The sequence below is a fragment of the Homo sapiens genome, chromosome 16, assembly GCF_000001405.40.
Source record: "Homo sapiens chromosome 16, GRCh38.p14 Primary Assembly".
NCBI lineage: Eukaryota > Metazoa > Chordata > Mammalia > Primates > Hominidae > Homo > Homo sapiens.
This window is the reverse complement of record NC_000016.10, coordinates 10468765-10484268: the sequence shown is the minus strand read 5'-3', so window position 1 is coordinate 10484268 and position 15504 is coordinate 10468765. Positions and strand designations below refer to the sequence as shown.

Genomic DNA, 15504 nt, shown 5'->3' with positions numbered 1-15504 from the left:
GCAAAACAGTAATGCTTTTTTTTGAGATGGAGTCTTGCTCTGTCGCCCAGGCTGGAGTGCAGTGGTGTGATCTTGGCTCACTGCAAGCTCCGCCTCCTGGGTTCACACCATTCTCCTGCCTCAGCCTCCCGAGTAGCTGGGACTACAGGTGCCTGCCACCACGCCCAGCTAATTTTTTTGTAATTAATTTTAGTAGAGATGGGGTTTCACCATGTTAGCCAGGATGGTCTCAATCTCCTGACCTCGTGATCCACCTGCCTCGGCCTTCCAAAGTGCTGGGATTACAGGCGTGAGCCACCGCGCCAGCTACAGTAATGCTTTCTGAGGTACCACCTCTTAAGAGGTTTGCTGTCAGCCTCTCTCTCTCTTCCTGTGATCATAAAGGCTCATTTGCTAGAGACTTGAGCATCGATCATCGTTCCAGATGGCCCACTGGTTGCAGATGCAGGTTCACTTGGTAATGGGTACCAAAATCTTGTTTATAGGCCGCGTCTTTGGGCTTCACAGTGAGTGAATGTCTAGTCCATGGCAATCCCAGGGTGAGTTCCTGGCTCTGAGTAGGAAATGGAACTCACTGGGCAGTTCCTCTCATGAATCAGTAATTTTCTTAAAAATAAAGACATAGAACACTGCAGAAAATAACAGCTTTATTGCTACAGATGTGAGAGCATTTACAAAATGCCAAGGAAAACCATTCCGTTTTGAGTCTCTGGAGCCTGAACTCTCACCATGTACCAGAAAAGAATGCCCCTCTTTCGAACTTTCAAACAGTTGGGATTATTTTTGTTTCTTATCATCCCAATTATTTGCTCAAGTTTGCCTCCATTGGGCCCCGTTCAGAGTTTCTTGGGCTGCTTGTACTAGTCACAGCTCCACTTCCATCTCTTCTCAGGAAGAGGTGGGCACAAGACACATCTGAGCCCCTTAGTATTGTGATGGTGGCCAGGAAATGATCAAAGGGTAGCATTTAGGAAATCAGCAAACTAAAGCCTCAAATCAAAGGTGGACAAATGCATTCTCAACTCAAACAGGTTGGGTAATGCTTTCATAAGATACATTATGTTTTTGTGTACACAGCACACAAATTTTATTATGTCTACAAACAGATTCAGGAAAGACCTCCAGGCTATTTCCCCAAATGATTGACAAAGTGCAAAACAAAACAAAAAAGAGGAGAGCACAAATGAATAGCCCACTTAGAAGCTGAATAGAAAGAATGGGAAGCCATTTCGTTTCATAAAATCTTTTAATTTTTGGCCAGGCATGGTGGCTTACGCCTATAATCCCAGCACTTCGGGAGGCCGAGGCGGGTGGATCCCCTGAGGTCAGGAGTTTGAGACCAGCCTGACCAACAAGGTGAAACCTCATCTCTACTAAAAATAAATTAGCCGGGCATGGTGGCAAGTGACTATAGTCCCAGCTACTTGGGAGGCTGACATAGGAGAATTGCTTGAACCAGGGAGATGGAGGTTGCAGTGACCACTGTACTCCAGCCTGGGCAACAGAGCAATATTCCATCTCAAAAAAAAAAATCTTTTAATTTTTATAATTAACTTTTATCATGCAGCCCAACATGTCATCTTTTCATAAAATCTTAGTAGAGGTGCACTCCAGGGATGATCTGGCCCTCAGTCAAGGGCTGACTTTTCCTGTAGCTATGCTGACCACAGCAGGTTACTAAAAGCTGATTGTTAACGGAGGAAACAGTGGCTGCTTGTATCCTAGGTCTTCTGATAGAAGCAGCAGTTCCACAGTCACTAAAGGTATTGTTCACAATGCACCTCAGCAACATGGGCCAATGATAGCGTATGTTTTAGAACTTATCCATTGGAAGGACATATTTAATACAAACCAGAAATTCATTAAATTACTGGCCACTTAAAACATATAGAAGAGGACTGTCCCAATAGAAAGGGCTCACAATCTGAGCTGGCCTTTTACAATGGCAAATAGTATTACAGTAACATTGCAAACAAACAAATATGAAAAAAAAAGTAGTATATCATTATTAAACACCTTTTACGTAAGATTTTCAGAAAACCCAGGGATAGATTTTATATCACAGAATGGTCCATATCGTCCAAAAATATCTTTTGATTGGACAGTAAAATAGTATCTGTTGGAAGCTAAAAACTGAGATAAAGTACAGGCCATGGGGAGTGGTAAAGCTTTAATTTCTCCAATCTTCTTCCAAATCAACTTATTATTAGAGTTCTCATGACACAGGAAGAGGTGGTAGCTTTCTACAGGAGCACACTTGGGATTGATTTTGGTTATATTCCAAGTCAGGGCAATGCCATTGGGTCTGAAAACCCGTTTCACTTTGAGCTCAGGCTTCTGGGGAGGAAGTGTGTCTCGGGTTTTGTCTACTAATTCAGGTAGTGGTGCTGGTGGTTCTGGGAGAGGTGGCAGGTGCTCAAAGGACTCAGGAACCTAAAAACACAATTGTAAGAAAATATAGCTTTTAAAGTGGTCAATTGCAGTTGTAGAAATATATATTTCTCATTCTTCAATCCATTTATCAAAATAATAAAAGGATATTTCAGTAATATGTGAGGCTGGATCCAGTCCTTTAAGCAGAATCCTCTTTTGGATTTAAGATTTCTATATCCTGGAATATCAATAATCCAGAATGGGTTAGGTTCCAGACATGTGGGATAAATATTCCATCTCATTTCCAAATTGCGCTCTCAAACACTATACTAATTTACATGAAAAGTGTCAGCATGGCTGGGTGCATTGCCTCACCTGAGGTCAGGAGTTTGAGACCAGCCTGGCCAACATGGCAAAATCCTGTCTCTACTAAAAATACAAAAATTAGCTGTGCGTGGTGGTGCGTGCCTGTAATCCCAGCTACTCGGGAAATCCCAGCTACTCGGGAAATCCCAGCTACTCGGGAAATCCCAGCTACTCGGGAGGCTGAGGCAGGGGACTCACTTGAACCCAGGAGGTGGAGGTTGCAGTGAGCCGAGATCATGCCACCGCACTATAGCCTGGGCAACAGGGCAAGATTCGGTCTCAAAAAGTGACAGTATATGAGAACACCCTTTTCCTCCCATCCTCATCAACAATGGCTATTGCTTCTTTTCCAATTTGTTCAATAAAAAAAGTATTTGTTTTAATTTCTGTAGCTTCTGTAAAACTCAACTGAATAATTTTAATTGTATAAATAAGTAGATTAACAACAGCACACTAAATTGTTGTCTAAGCTGAAATGTGACCCAAATGTTTCTTCAAGAGTAACATAGCTACTTCCCACTCAATTTGGAATAAATATCCCTTACAGAGCACTTTGATTCAGTACCTGGACTGCATTTTGTGCCAATGGGGTTGTTTCCTTTGAGTTTGAAGCAGCTTTCGAATGTGACTCCAGGGGGGATACTGGACTTTCTGTGAACAACACAAGGTTTAAGAAGTAAATCTTATCTGCAATAATCAATTCCATAGCCTTTAAGCTATAGTTTACATCTTTGGTGGTAATTAAATGTGAATTAAAATTATAAAACTGTGAATTATGAAGATACACTTTTAATTAAAGTTCAAGATACAGAGGTACCAAATATAGAAAATTTTTAAGGTGACAAAAATTCCCCTTAAGGTAAACACTTTAGACATTGTGTAACTGGCAACTAGATAGGTTTACACATGGGACAGAGATCTCTGATAAATGATCTTAGAGGCAAATTTTCTCGTTAGGCCAACAAAGATGTCTACAAACACAGAGCCATTTATAATCTATAGCCAAGTTTTAGGAATTCAAACTAAAAATCATGTGGGTTGGGGTTAAAGAAATCTCAACTAATGAGGTCTGTGCTCCTCTGGAAGGAATTAGGCATAAAATGTGGAGTGGGGAAAAGAAGAGGGGAAGGAGGAGAAACAGAAAGGAAAATAGATGGTGAGAAGAAGAAAGGAAGGGAACACGAAAAATGTGGATGGGTGGGAGGGAAAGAAGGTACAAGTAGGCAAAAGAATGGATTGAAAACAACTGGGGAGGCTGTGCATAGTGGCTCACATCTGTCATCCCAGCACTTTAGGACGCAGATGACTTGAGGTCAGGAGTTCCAGATCAGCCTGGGCAACATGGTAGAATGCTGTCTCTACTAAAAATACAAAATTAGCTGGGTGTGGTGGCGCGTGCCTGTAGTCCCAGCTACTCGGGAGGCTGAGACAGAGAATTGCTTAAACCCGGGAGGTGGAGGTTGAAGTGAGCCAAGATCAAGCCACTGCATTCTAGCCTGGGTGACAGAGGGCAGAACAAGACTGTCTCAAAAAAAAAAAAAAAAAAAAAAAAAAAAAAAAAAAAAAAAAAAGTATTTCCAGTTCTAAATCACTGAGAAATCACCAGACTGTTTTCTACAATGGTGGAACTAATTTACATTCCTACCAACAGTGTAAACGCATTCCTATTTCTCCACATCCTCGCCAGCATCTGTTGTTTTCTGACTTTAATAATCGCCATTCTGACAGGCATGAGATGGTATCTCATTGTGGTTTTGATTTGCATTCCTCTGATGATCAGTGATGTTGAGCTTTTTTTCATGTTTGTTGGCCAAATGTACGTCTTCTTTTGAGAAATGTCTGCTCATGTCCTTTGCCCACTTTTTTTTTTTAATTATTATTATACTTTAAGTTTTAGGGTACATGTGCACAATGTGCAGGTTAGTTACATATGTATACATGTGCCATGCTGGTGTGCTGCACCCATTAACTCGTCATTTAGCATTAGGTATATCTCCTAATGCTATCCCTCCCCACTCCCCCTACCCTACAACAGGCCCCAGTGTGTGATGTTCCCCTTCCTGTGTCCATGTGTTCTCATTGTTCAATTCCCACCTATGAGTGAGAATATGTGGTGTTTGGTTTTTTGTTCTTGCGATAGTTTACTGAGTATGATGATTTCCAATTTCATCCATGTCCCTACAACGGACATGAACTCATCATTTTTTATGGCTGCATAGTATTCCATGGTGTATATGTGCCACATTTTCTTAATCCAGTCTATCATTGTTGGACATTTGGGTTGGTTCCAAGTCTTTGCTATTGTGAATAGTGCCGCAATAAACATACGTGTGCATGTGTCTTTATAGCAGCATGATTTATAGTCCTTTGGGTATATACCCAGTAATGGGATGGCTGGGTCAAATGGTATTTCTAGTTCTAGATCCCTGAGGAATTGCCACACTGACTTCCACAAGGGTTGAACTAGTTTACAGTCCCACCAACAGTGTAAAAGTGTTCCTATTTCTCCACATCCTCTCCAGCACCTGTTGTTTCCTGACTTTTTAATGATTGCCATTCTAACTGGTGTGAGATGGTATCTCATTGTGGTTTTGATTTGCATTCCTCTGATGGCCAGTGATGGTGAGCATTTTTTCATGTGTTTTTTGGCTGCATAAATGTCTTCCTTTGAGAAGTGTCTGTTCATGTCCTTCGCCTACTTTTTGATGGGGTTGTTTTTTTCTTGTGAATTTGTTTGAGTTCATTGTAGATTCTGAATATTAGCCCTTTGTCAGATGAGTAGATTGCGAAAATTTTCTCCCATTTTGTAGGTTGCCTGTTCACTCTGATGGTAGTTTCTTTTGCTGTGCAGGAGCTCTTTAGTTTAAGTAGATCCCATTTGTCAATTTTGGCTTTTGTTGCCATTGCTTTTGGTGTTTTAGACATGAAGTCCTTGCCCATGCCTATGTCCTGAATGGTCATGCCTAGGTTTTCTTCTAGGGTTTTTATGGTTTTAGGTCTAACGTTTAAGTCTTTAATCCATCTTGAATAAATTTTTGTATAAGGTGTAAGGAAGGGATCCAGTTTCAGCTTTCCACATATGGCTAGCCAGTTTTCCCAGCACCATTTATTAAATAGGGAATCCTTTCCCCATTGCTTGTGTTTCTCAAGTTTGTCAAAGATCAGATAGTTGTAGATATGTGGCGTTATTTCTGAGGGCTCTGTTCTGTTCCATTGATCTATATCTCTGTTTTGGTACCAGTACCATGCTGTTTTGGTTACTGTAGCCTTGTAGTATAGTTTGAAGTCAGGTAGTGTGATGCCTCCAGCTTTGTTCTTTTGGCTTAGGATTGACTTGGCGATGCGGGCTCTTTTTTGGTTCCATATGAACTTTAAAGTAGTTTTTTCCAATTCTGTGAAGAAAGTCATTGGTAGCTTGATGGGGATGGCATTGAATCTATAAATTACCTTGGGCAGTATGTCCATTTTCATGATATTGATTCTTCCTACCCATGAGCATGGAATGTTCTTCCATTTGTTTGTATCCTCTTTTATTTCATTGAGCAGTGGTTTGTAGTTCTCCTTGAAGAGGTCCTTCACATCCCTTGTAAGTTGGATTCCTAGGTATTTTATTCTCTTTGAAGCAATTGCGAATGGGAGTTCACTCATGATTTGGCTCTCTGTTTGTCTGTTATTGGTGTATAAGTATGCTTGTGATTTTTGTACATTGATTTTGTATCCTGAGACTTTGCTGAAGTTGCCTATCAATCAGCTTAAGGAGATTTTGGGCTGAGACAATGGGGTTTTCTAGATATACAATCATGTCGTCTGCAAACAGGGACAATTTGACTTCCTCTTTTCCTAATTGAATACCCTTTATTTCCTTCTCCTGCCTAATTGCCCTGGCCAGAACTTCCAACACTATGTTGAATAGGAGCGGTGAGAGAGGGCATCCCTGTCTTGTGCCAGTATTCAAAGGGAATGCTTCCAGTTTTCAAAGGGACTGCTTCCAGTTTTTGCCCATTCAGTATGATATTGGCTGTGGGTTTGTCATAGATAGCTCTTATTATTTTGAGATACGTCCCATCAATACCTAATTTATTGAGAGTTTTTAGCATGAAGGGTTGTTGAATTTTGTCAAAGGCCTTTTCTGCATCTATTGAGATAATCATGTGGTTTTTGGCACATCAAAAAGCTTATCCACCATGATCAAGTGGGCTTCATCCCTGGGATGCAAGGCTGGTTCAATATACGCAAATCAATAAATGTAATCTTTTGCCCACTTTTTAATGGGGTTGCTTTTTCTTGTAAATTTGCTTAAGTTCCTTGTAGATTCTGGGTGTTAGACCTTTGTCAGTTAGACAGATTGCAAAAATTTTCTCCCATTCTGTAGGTTGTCTGTTCGCTGATGATAGTTTCTTCTGCTGTATACAGGCTCTTTAATTAGATCCCATTTGTAGATTTTTGCTTTTGTTGCAATTGGTTTTGGCGATTTCATCATAAAATTGTCATTTGGCCTAGCAGTCTCATTACTGGGTATTTACCCAAAGGAATATTAATCATTCTATTAGAAAAATACATGCATGTATATGTTAACTGCAGCACTAATCACAACAGCAAAGACATGGAATCAACCCAAAAGCCCATCAATGATAGACTAAAGAAAATGTGGTACATATACACATGGAATACTATGCAGCCATAAAAAGGAATGAGATCCTGTTCTTTGCAGGGACATGGATGGAGCTAGAAGCCATTATCCTCAGCAAAGTAACGCAGGAACAGAAAACTAAATACCACATGTTCTCACTTAAAAGTGGGAGCTAAACAATGAGAACACATGGACATAGGGAGGGGAACAACACACACTAGGCCTGTTGGGGGAGGGGCAGGGGGTGGAGAGAACATCAGGAAAAATAGTTAATGCATGCCAGGCTTAATACTTAGGTGATGGGTTGATAGGTGCAGCAAACCACCATGGCACACATTTACCTATGTAACAAACCTGCACATCCTGCACATGTACCCCAGAACATAAAGTTTAAAAAAAAACACACACACACACAACTGGGGAGAGTAAATACAGGGATGGTTAAGAAAAGGGGGTTTATATTGGAAAGTATGAAAGTTGGGTAGCTAAAAATCCCAGAATTAAGCAGTAAAAACCATTTTAGATCCTTTATATCCTGTGATGTAACTAATATATTTTATGAATCCTCCAAATGAAATTTCTTTTACTTATATTTTTCTTTTCACAAAGATGAACAAGATTCTGTATTGTGTTTCACAGTTAGTCACCTTATTTACTGGTATTTTTACAAAAACCTTCCTAGAAGTAAGGAGTTTATTATTTTAGAGAGTCTGTTCAGCTATTTTGTACTAGCTTTAAGAGACAGATTTGTACAATTATAATCTACAGGTTAAGAACTAATACAAACAACCTTTACATTTTTAGCCAACAGCTGAATATTTAAAATATCCTAGCAAATATAATTTCTTGTAAATAATATTCCTTCTTTCAAGGCAGTAAGTCAACTGGCCCTTGGCAAATTAAAACAGACTACAACAGAAGCTGAACTTTATGATAATAAGAGACAAAACAGGACTTTCATTCCAACCCAAGTAATGTTTATTTCCTTTTTAAAGTACATCTCTTGTAATCATAGTTGAGACTTGTATTGTTCTCCAGTCAAACAATGCTTTTCAATGGAGTGTTTGGACCATTTACATTTATTATCAGTGTGGTCAGGTTTAAATTGATCATTTTGCCTTTTGTTCTCTATTAGTCTTGTTTGTTCTTTCTCTGTTTTTTTTTTTTTTTTTTTTTTCTGGCTTCTTAGATTGGGTTTTTTTTTTTTGAGACGGAGTTTCGCTCTGTTGCCCAGGCTGGAGTGCAGTGGCGCGATCTCGGCTCACTGCAAGCTCCACTTCCCGGGTTCGCGCCATTCTCCTGCCTCAGCCTCCCGAGTAGCTGGGACTACAGGTGCCCGCCACCACACCCGGCTAATTTTTTTTGTATTTTTAGTAGAGATGGGGTTTCACCATGTTAGCCAGGATAGTCTTGATCTCCTGACCTCATGATCTGCCCGTCTCGGCCTCCCAAAGTGCTGGGATTACAGGCGTGAGCCACCGCGCCCAGCCAGTTTGGATATTTTAAAAATTCCTTTTTATCTCCACTATTGGTTTCTTAGCTTTACTTCTATTTAAAAGAAAAAACTGTTGCTCTAGGCATTACCATATATATCTTTAACTTATCACAGTCTAGCTTCAAATAACGTGACACCACTCCATTTAAGAGCCTTGTAACAGCATACTTCCAATCCTGTGACTATCTTTTGCACTACTGTTTTCATCTACTGACTTCTATATACATTCTACAATATAGTTTTATTCTTTGTGTAGATCTACTTTCCATCTGGTATCTTTTACTATCATTTGAAGAATTTCCTTTATTTCTGATAGCAAAGGTCTGCTGGCAACAAATTTTGTTGATCTGAAAAATTTTAATTTTGCTTTATTTATTCTTATTTTTGTAGAGATGGGGTTTCCCTATGTTGCCTAGGCTGGTCTCAAACTGCTGGCCTCAAGCCATCCTCCTGCCCTGACCTCCCAAAGTTGCTTTCTTTTTTGAAAGCCATATTTTCTAGATAAAGAATTACAGGTTGACAGTTATTTTCCCCCAACCTTTTAATGAAGTCATTCAATTGTCTTTTGGCTTGCATTGTTCTAGCCTAGAAACCTGTGAATTCTTTGTTCTTTCACCTGCATTGTATCTTCATTTTTCTCCTTATCACTGGATTTCAGGAACTTGACTATGTTATGTCTTGGTATGAATTCTTTTGTGTTTATCCTGGAGTTTTTTAAACACCTTGGGTATGTGGGTTTATACTTTTCATTAAATTCCAATGAGACCTTATAACTGATCCCCAGCCCCACGACTGTATTTCACTTCTTTTTCCTTAAATCTGTGAAAGACGACAGACACTGTTGTCACTCTCTGTCTACATTTTCATGTTATACCCCAGTTTCTGTTTCTCTGTGCGTCCTCTTAGCTGCTATTGTTGTGGTTAGGGAAAAAAGTATGTACCACAGGAAGAAAATAAATGTGTAAAAGTCCCCAACAAGCCAGATGTCTTTCAATGGGTTTATGAATAAAGAAATTATGATGCATCCACACCACGGGCTACTCTTGGCAATAAAGAGGAACACACTACTGTTACACAAGAATGTGGATGACCCTCGGAAGAAGTCAATCTCCGAAGGACACATACTGCATTATCAAATTTATGTAAATTTGTGAAATAACAATTATAGTACAGAACAGATTGGTGGCTGCCAGGGATTGGGGCAGAAACAAGGTGTGAGTATAAAGGGGTAGCATGAAGGAGCTTTGTCACTGTGACGGCAGTTACATGAATCTGCACATGAGCTAAAACTGCACAGAGATATAAACATAGGCACACTCACATATTAAAACAAACTTCATAAGTAGACCCAGTGCATTATGAGTTGTTACCCTTCCCTCCTTTTTACAAAAGAAAGATCTAAAAAATCCTTTTACCTGTATTGCAGTTGGATAGGCCTTCTTTTGTCAAATCAATTATAGAATCAAGTTTCTTCTGTACAGCCTAAAAAAATTGTAAAAAAAAAAAAAAAGCTTTGCCTCAATAGCTGAAAATGTTTTTAAAAATTTAAAACCATTTGGTAATTTTAAATGGTAATTTTAAATCACCATTCGGAAACTAGAGATGGAACATTCTCTAAGTCTCTTGTGGTTTAACTCTACTATTAAAAAGCTCTTATAAAATACTAAATGGTTTCTGAGAATATGACTAAGGAGAATGTAAATGAATTTGGTAAATGAGTATCGTTATGAATTATGCTTATCATTAGCTGTCTGCTTTTCAGTGTGTAACGTGGACTAAAACTAAATCATCCAACATGTAGCAAACACTAAAGTTCCTTGAACTAACATATTTAAATAAACAATATTCAGAGTCAATATTTATTACTCACCATAACTTCAGCATTGGGAGAATTGCTAGAATTTCCTGATGTAATTTTTCTGGTATCTGAAAGAAATTAGACATTTGACAAATTTATTACACAATATTTATGGGCTTTGTGAAATATGAATGCTAAAACAAAATAATAGGGATGCTAATTAGCTGTTAATTATACAGTGATAAAAAGTAACTCAATTGACTTTACCTATTCCAAAGACTGAATGAAATTTTTTTAAAAAAATGTAATTTTGGGTCAAACCATTTTGTCTTTCTGTAACTTTGCAACTATATTAGTAACTCTTTTTTTGAAAATCTACCTAGAAATTTCCATGAGAAAATACACCTGGAAATGCACACACTTTTAATTCACAGTATTTTTAGACTACAACTGCCTGACATGGCTGAGAAGCACTCTTCCTGGAACCAGTAGGAAGCCTAAGATAAATGATTAACATCCTTTGTAATTCTCTGATTCACAATCTTAGCCCAAATTGTGGGGACAATTAAGTAGCTATTAAGTGGAGGCAAAGCTTTAAAATTAAGATGCAAATACTTTAACATAGTAGAAAATGAAATGAAAATGGGGAATTTTGAATAAGAAATTATGAGCCAAACAAGATGGGTATTTTTGAGAGAGAGAAAAGTTATCATTGGAAATGTAAGGTTAAAATTTTTTTTTTTTTTTTTTTGAGACGGAGTCTTGCTGTTTTGCCCAGGCTGGAGTGCAGTAGCACGATCTCAGCTCACTGCAGTCTCTGCCTCCAAGGTTCAAGCAATTCTCCTGCCTCACCCTCCAGAGTAGCTGGGATTACAGGCACCTGCCACCATGCCTGGCTAATTTTTGTATTTTTAATACAGATGGGGTTTCATTTTGTTGGCCAGGCTGGTCTTGAACTCCTGACCTCAGGTGATCTGCCTGCCTCAGCCTCCCAAAGTGCTTGGATTACAGGTGTGAGCCACCACACCCAGACTGACTAGACAAATTTTAAATCTTAAGTAGACTATAAGATAACTTAATAGATAAAAAATAAGAAGACAAAAAACAAACCGTCACTACCATCAAAAAAAGGCCAGGGCAAACCATTAAAAATAAGTAGTTTTTACAAGTTATAAAGTCATTAAACACATAAAAGAAACAAAAGGCCCTAAACTGATAAAACACAAGGTTAAAATGAAATCTCAATTACATTAAGGAATCATTTATTTAGGTAATATTAACCATGATATAAATTAGAACATTTGAGAGTACATTTAACTTTTTCATTTTATTAAAAGATATTATTCAATTTTTCACTTTAAAGCAAACATTGATTTAAGGCCTTCTAACTTGATAGATCATATTCTAATCAGCTATAAGATACCTGTTGGATTTGATGTAATTGGAGTTGTCAAATTAGGACTTTCCACAGAAATCAACATAACATCATCATTGTTACTAAAATGATAAAAAGAAATTAAAAACAAAAACTAAACATGCATTATCAGGCTTAAACATGCAATTAGTGGTTAGGAGTCCTCTAACTTAACATTTCATAATGTTTTAATTGAACAATCGTGGGGGGAAATAGAAATGATAAAACCAAATACCCAAAAAAACTCCATTTATTACCAGTTCCGTTATATGACTAAAGATTCATCAAAATCCAATAATTAGATCCCTACTACATTTTATGGGTCTTTCACAATGACTCAAAATATATATAAGTATACAATGGACATAAATGTATAAAACATACAAATTCCTTTGAGCGTATATACTTACTTCTATAAAAATGAAACATCATGTAATGAAGGAAATCTATTAAGACCCATAAAGACACCTGGACTCCTAAAGGTAGAAAACTATAACAAAGAAAATTATTTTAAAAAGAACTGCTACTACTCTTCATTTTATCTCTCCAGTAGCAATATTTACCACAAATTTGAGACAATGATGATAAATGATGCTGATTACGGTTATAGAATATTTCAAGCCATTTTGACCCTTTTTTTTTATGAGCGACTTTTTTGTTTTTTGAGATGGAGTTTTGCTCTTGTCCCCCAGGCTGAAGTGCAGTGGCGCAATCTTGGCTCACCGAAACCTCTGTCTCCCAGGTTCAAGCGATTCTCCTGCCTCAGCCTCTTCAGTAGCTGGGATTACAAGCATATGCCACCATGCCCGGCTAATTTTTCTATTTTTAGTAGAGACAGGGTTTCACCATGTTGGTCAGGCTGGTCTTGAACTCCTGACCTCAGGTGATCCGCCCACCTTGGCCTCCCAAAGTGCTGGGATTACAGGTGTGAGCCACTGCGCCCAGTCCAATTATACCATTTTCTTGCAGACATCTTCTGTTTTTACTGTTTGTACTTAGGTGTATGATCCATTTTGAGTTAATTTTTGTTTATGGTATGAAGTAAGAGCTGAGGTTCACTTTTCCCTCTATTCCAGCAACATTTTTGAAAAGAACATCTTTTCCTGTTAAACTACATCGGTACCTTTGTTGTAAACCAATGAACTACATGTGCAGTCTCTAGTGTGTCCACTGGTCAACATACCTATCCCTATGCCAACACCACTGTCTTAATACTACACCTTTATAGTTAAGTCTTGAACAAAGATAGTGTAGTCTTCTAACTTTCTTTCCCAACATTGTTTTCATCTTCTGGGTCTCTGCATTTTCATATATATATTCACACACACACACACACACATATATATACACACACATATATATATATATACACACACACATATATATATATACATATATATATATTTTTAAGAGACAGACTCGTGCTCTGTCTCCCAGGCTGGAGTGTAGTGGTGCAAATGTATCTTGCTGAAGCCTGAACCTCTGGGCTCAAAAGATCCTCTCATCTCGGCCTCCTAAGTAGCTGGGATGACAGCATGTGTCACCAGGCCTGGCTAACTTTTTAAAAAAATTTTTTTAAAAATGTTTTTTTATGTTGGCCAGGCTGGTCTTGAACTCCTGACCTCAAGTGATCCTCCTGCCCTGGCCTCCCAAGATGCTGGGATTATAAGTGTAAGCCATCATGCCTGGCCTTAAGTTTTTAATCAGTTTGTTACTTACTACAAAAACGGCTGAGGCATTGATAGATATACAATTTGGGGTGAAGTAACATCTTAATGAATTCATGAAAGTTACATATCTCACCACTTATTTAGGTCTCCTTTAATTTCTTCAGTAATACTTTGTAGTTTTAGGTTAGGTGGTTTTGGTTTATCCCTAAATATATTATGTTCTCTGAAGTCATTGTAAATGGCATCCATTTTAAATTTCAAATTCCAATTGTTTCTTGCTTGTGTGTGTGTATATATATAATTTCTAAACTATATATTCTACATATATATAGGATGTAGTGTTTCTATATAGAGTGTGTTGTGTGTATACACTATAAAGAAACAAAAATATTTTCTATTTGCCAACATATTTACAATGTCTGTCAGTCTATATTACTTTGTACAGATCCAAATTTCTATTTAATACTATTTTCCTTTTGCCTGAAAAATCTCCTCCAAAATTTCTTGTAATGTAGGTCTGTTGATGTATTCTCTCCCTTTTTTTTGGCTTAAAAAGTCTGTTTTTCCCCTACACTTTGGAAACATATTTTCACTGCATATAGAATTCTGAATGGACTTTTTTTTTTTTTTAAACTTTCAATACTTTAGAAGTATCTATGATCTCAATTTTAGAGATGTCTTCTAGTTTGCACAGCTTACAGCAAGAAGTATGGTGCCATTCTTACTTTTTGTTCCTTTTTTGTTTTTTGAGACGGTGTTTTGCTCGTTTCCCAGGCTGGAGTGCAGTGGCATGATCTCGGCTCACCGCAACCTCTGCCTCCTTGGTTCAAAGTGATTCTCCTGCCTCAGCCTCCCGAGTAGCTGGGATTACAGGCATGCGCCACAATGCTGGGCTAATTTTATATTTTTAGTAGAGACGGGGTTTTCTCCATGTTGGTCAGACTTTCTGTTCCTTTCTATGTGATGTGTCTTTTGTGTGGCTACTTTTTAAAATTTTCCCTTCCTCACTGACTTTCAGCAATCTGATGATGTGGTTTTGTATGCTTTCATGTTTCTTCTGCTTGAATTTAACATTTTTTCATTTATGGATTTAGAATTTGCATCAACTATGGAAAATTTTCAGACACTGTATCTTCAAACATTTGCTCAGCTCCTGCCTTAGTGATACTCCAATAATGTGTATTAGACTGCCTGATACTGTTCCATAGGTCTCTGATGCTCTGTTCATTGTTTTTTCAGTCTTTTTCCTCTCCATGCTTTAGACTGAACATTTTCTATACCTCTTTCACTGATATATTGGCAATAGCTCTTTTAGGTCGTCTGCTAAGTCCAAATTATTTCTAGGTAGATCACTTCATTCTTCTCCTTGTTGATAGGTCATATTTTTTGCTATGTTGCATGCCTGGGAATTTCTTATTAGATGTCAGATATTGTAAAATTTATGCTGTTGGGTAATGGATGTTGTTTCATTTCTTCAGAAGAGTGTTAGACTTTGTTCTGGCATGCAATTAAATTACTTAGGATTAGCCTGATTCCTTTGAAGCTTGCTTTTGGCTTTTCTGTGTATAGATTCTTTGCAGTCTCTGGGACTAATTGAGCCCCACTAAAGCAATAACCATCTGTGGACCCTACCTGTTACTTCTGATTATAAATTTTCTTCATTTTAGCCAAGGGGAAAGCAAAATGTTACCAATCTTTCTTCTAGCCAGGGGGAAAACAAGATGTATGACTTCTAGGAATCAATCACTTGGCCTTCTT

At 38.0% G+C, this 15504-nt stretch overlaps 1 protein-coding gene across 15 annotated transcripts in view; it reads right to left on the bottom strand.

Annotated features, from left to right (window-relative positions):
* Positions 1-630: 630 nt before the first annotated feature.
* The window catches only part of ATF7IP2 (activating transcription factor 7 interacting protein 2), a 97578-nt gene continuing 82704 nt past the window's right edge, over positions 631-15504 (bottom strand). For 10 of the 15 annotated variants that reach the window (NR_147927.2, NR_045815.3, NM_001393719.1 and 7 more), the window contains 5 exons: positions 12086-12159; positions 10735-10790; positions 10280-10346; positions 3305-3390; positions 631-2433 (listed from right to left, as the gene is read on the bottom strand). Coding sequence is in view for 11 of the 15 variants with exons in the window: in NM_001393719.1 (NP_001380648.1) it covers positions 2020-2433; positions 3305-3390; positions 10280-10346; positions 10735-10790; positions 12086-12159 (697 nt within the window). In the remaining 4 variants the exon portion in view is untranslated. Of the gene's footprint in view, positions 2434-3304; positions 3391-10279; positions 10347-10734; positions 10791-12085; positions 12160-15504 lie in introns of those variants that run through there. The other 5 variants (NM_001256160.3, XM_047434685.1, NR_045816.3 and 2 more) reach the window with 4 other exon arrangements.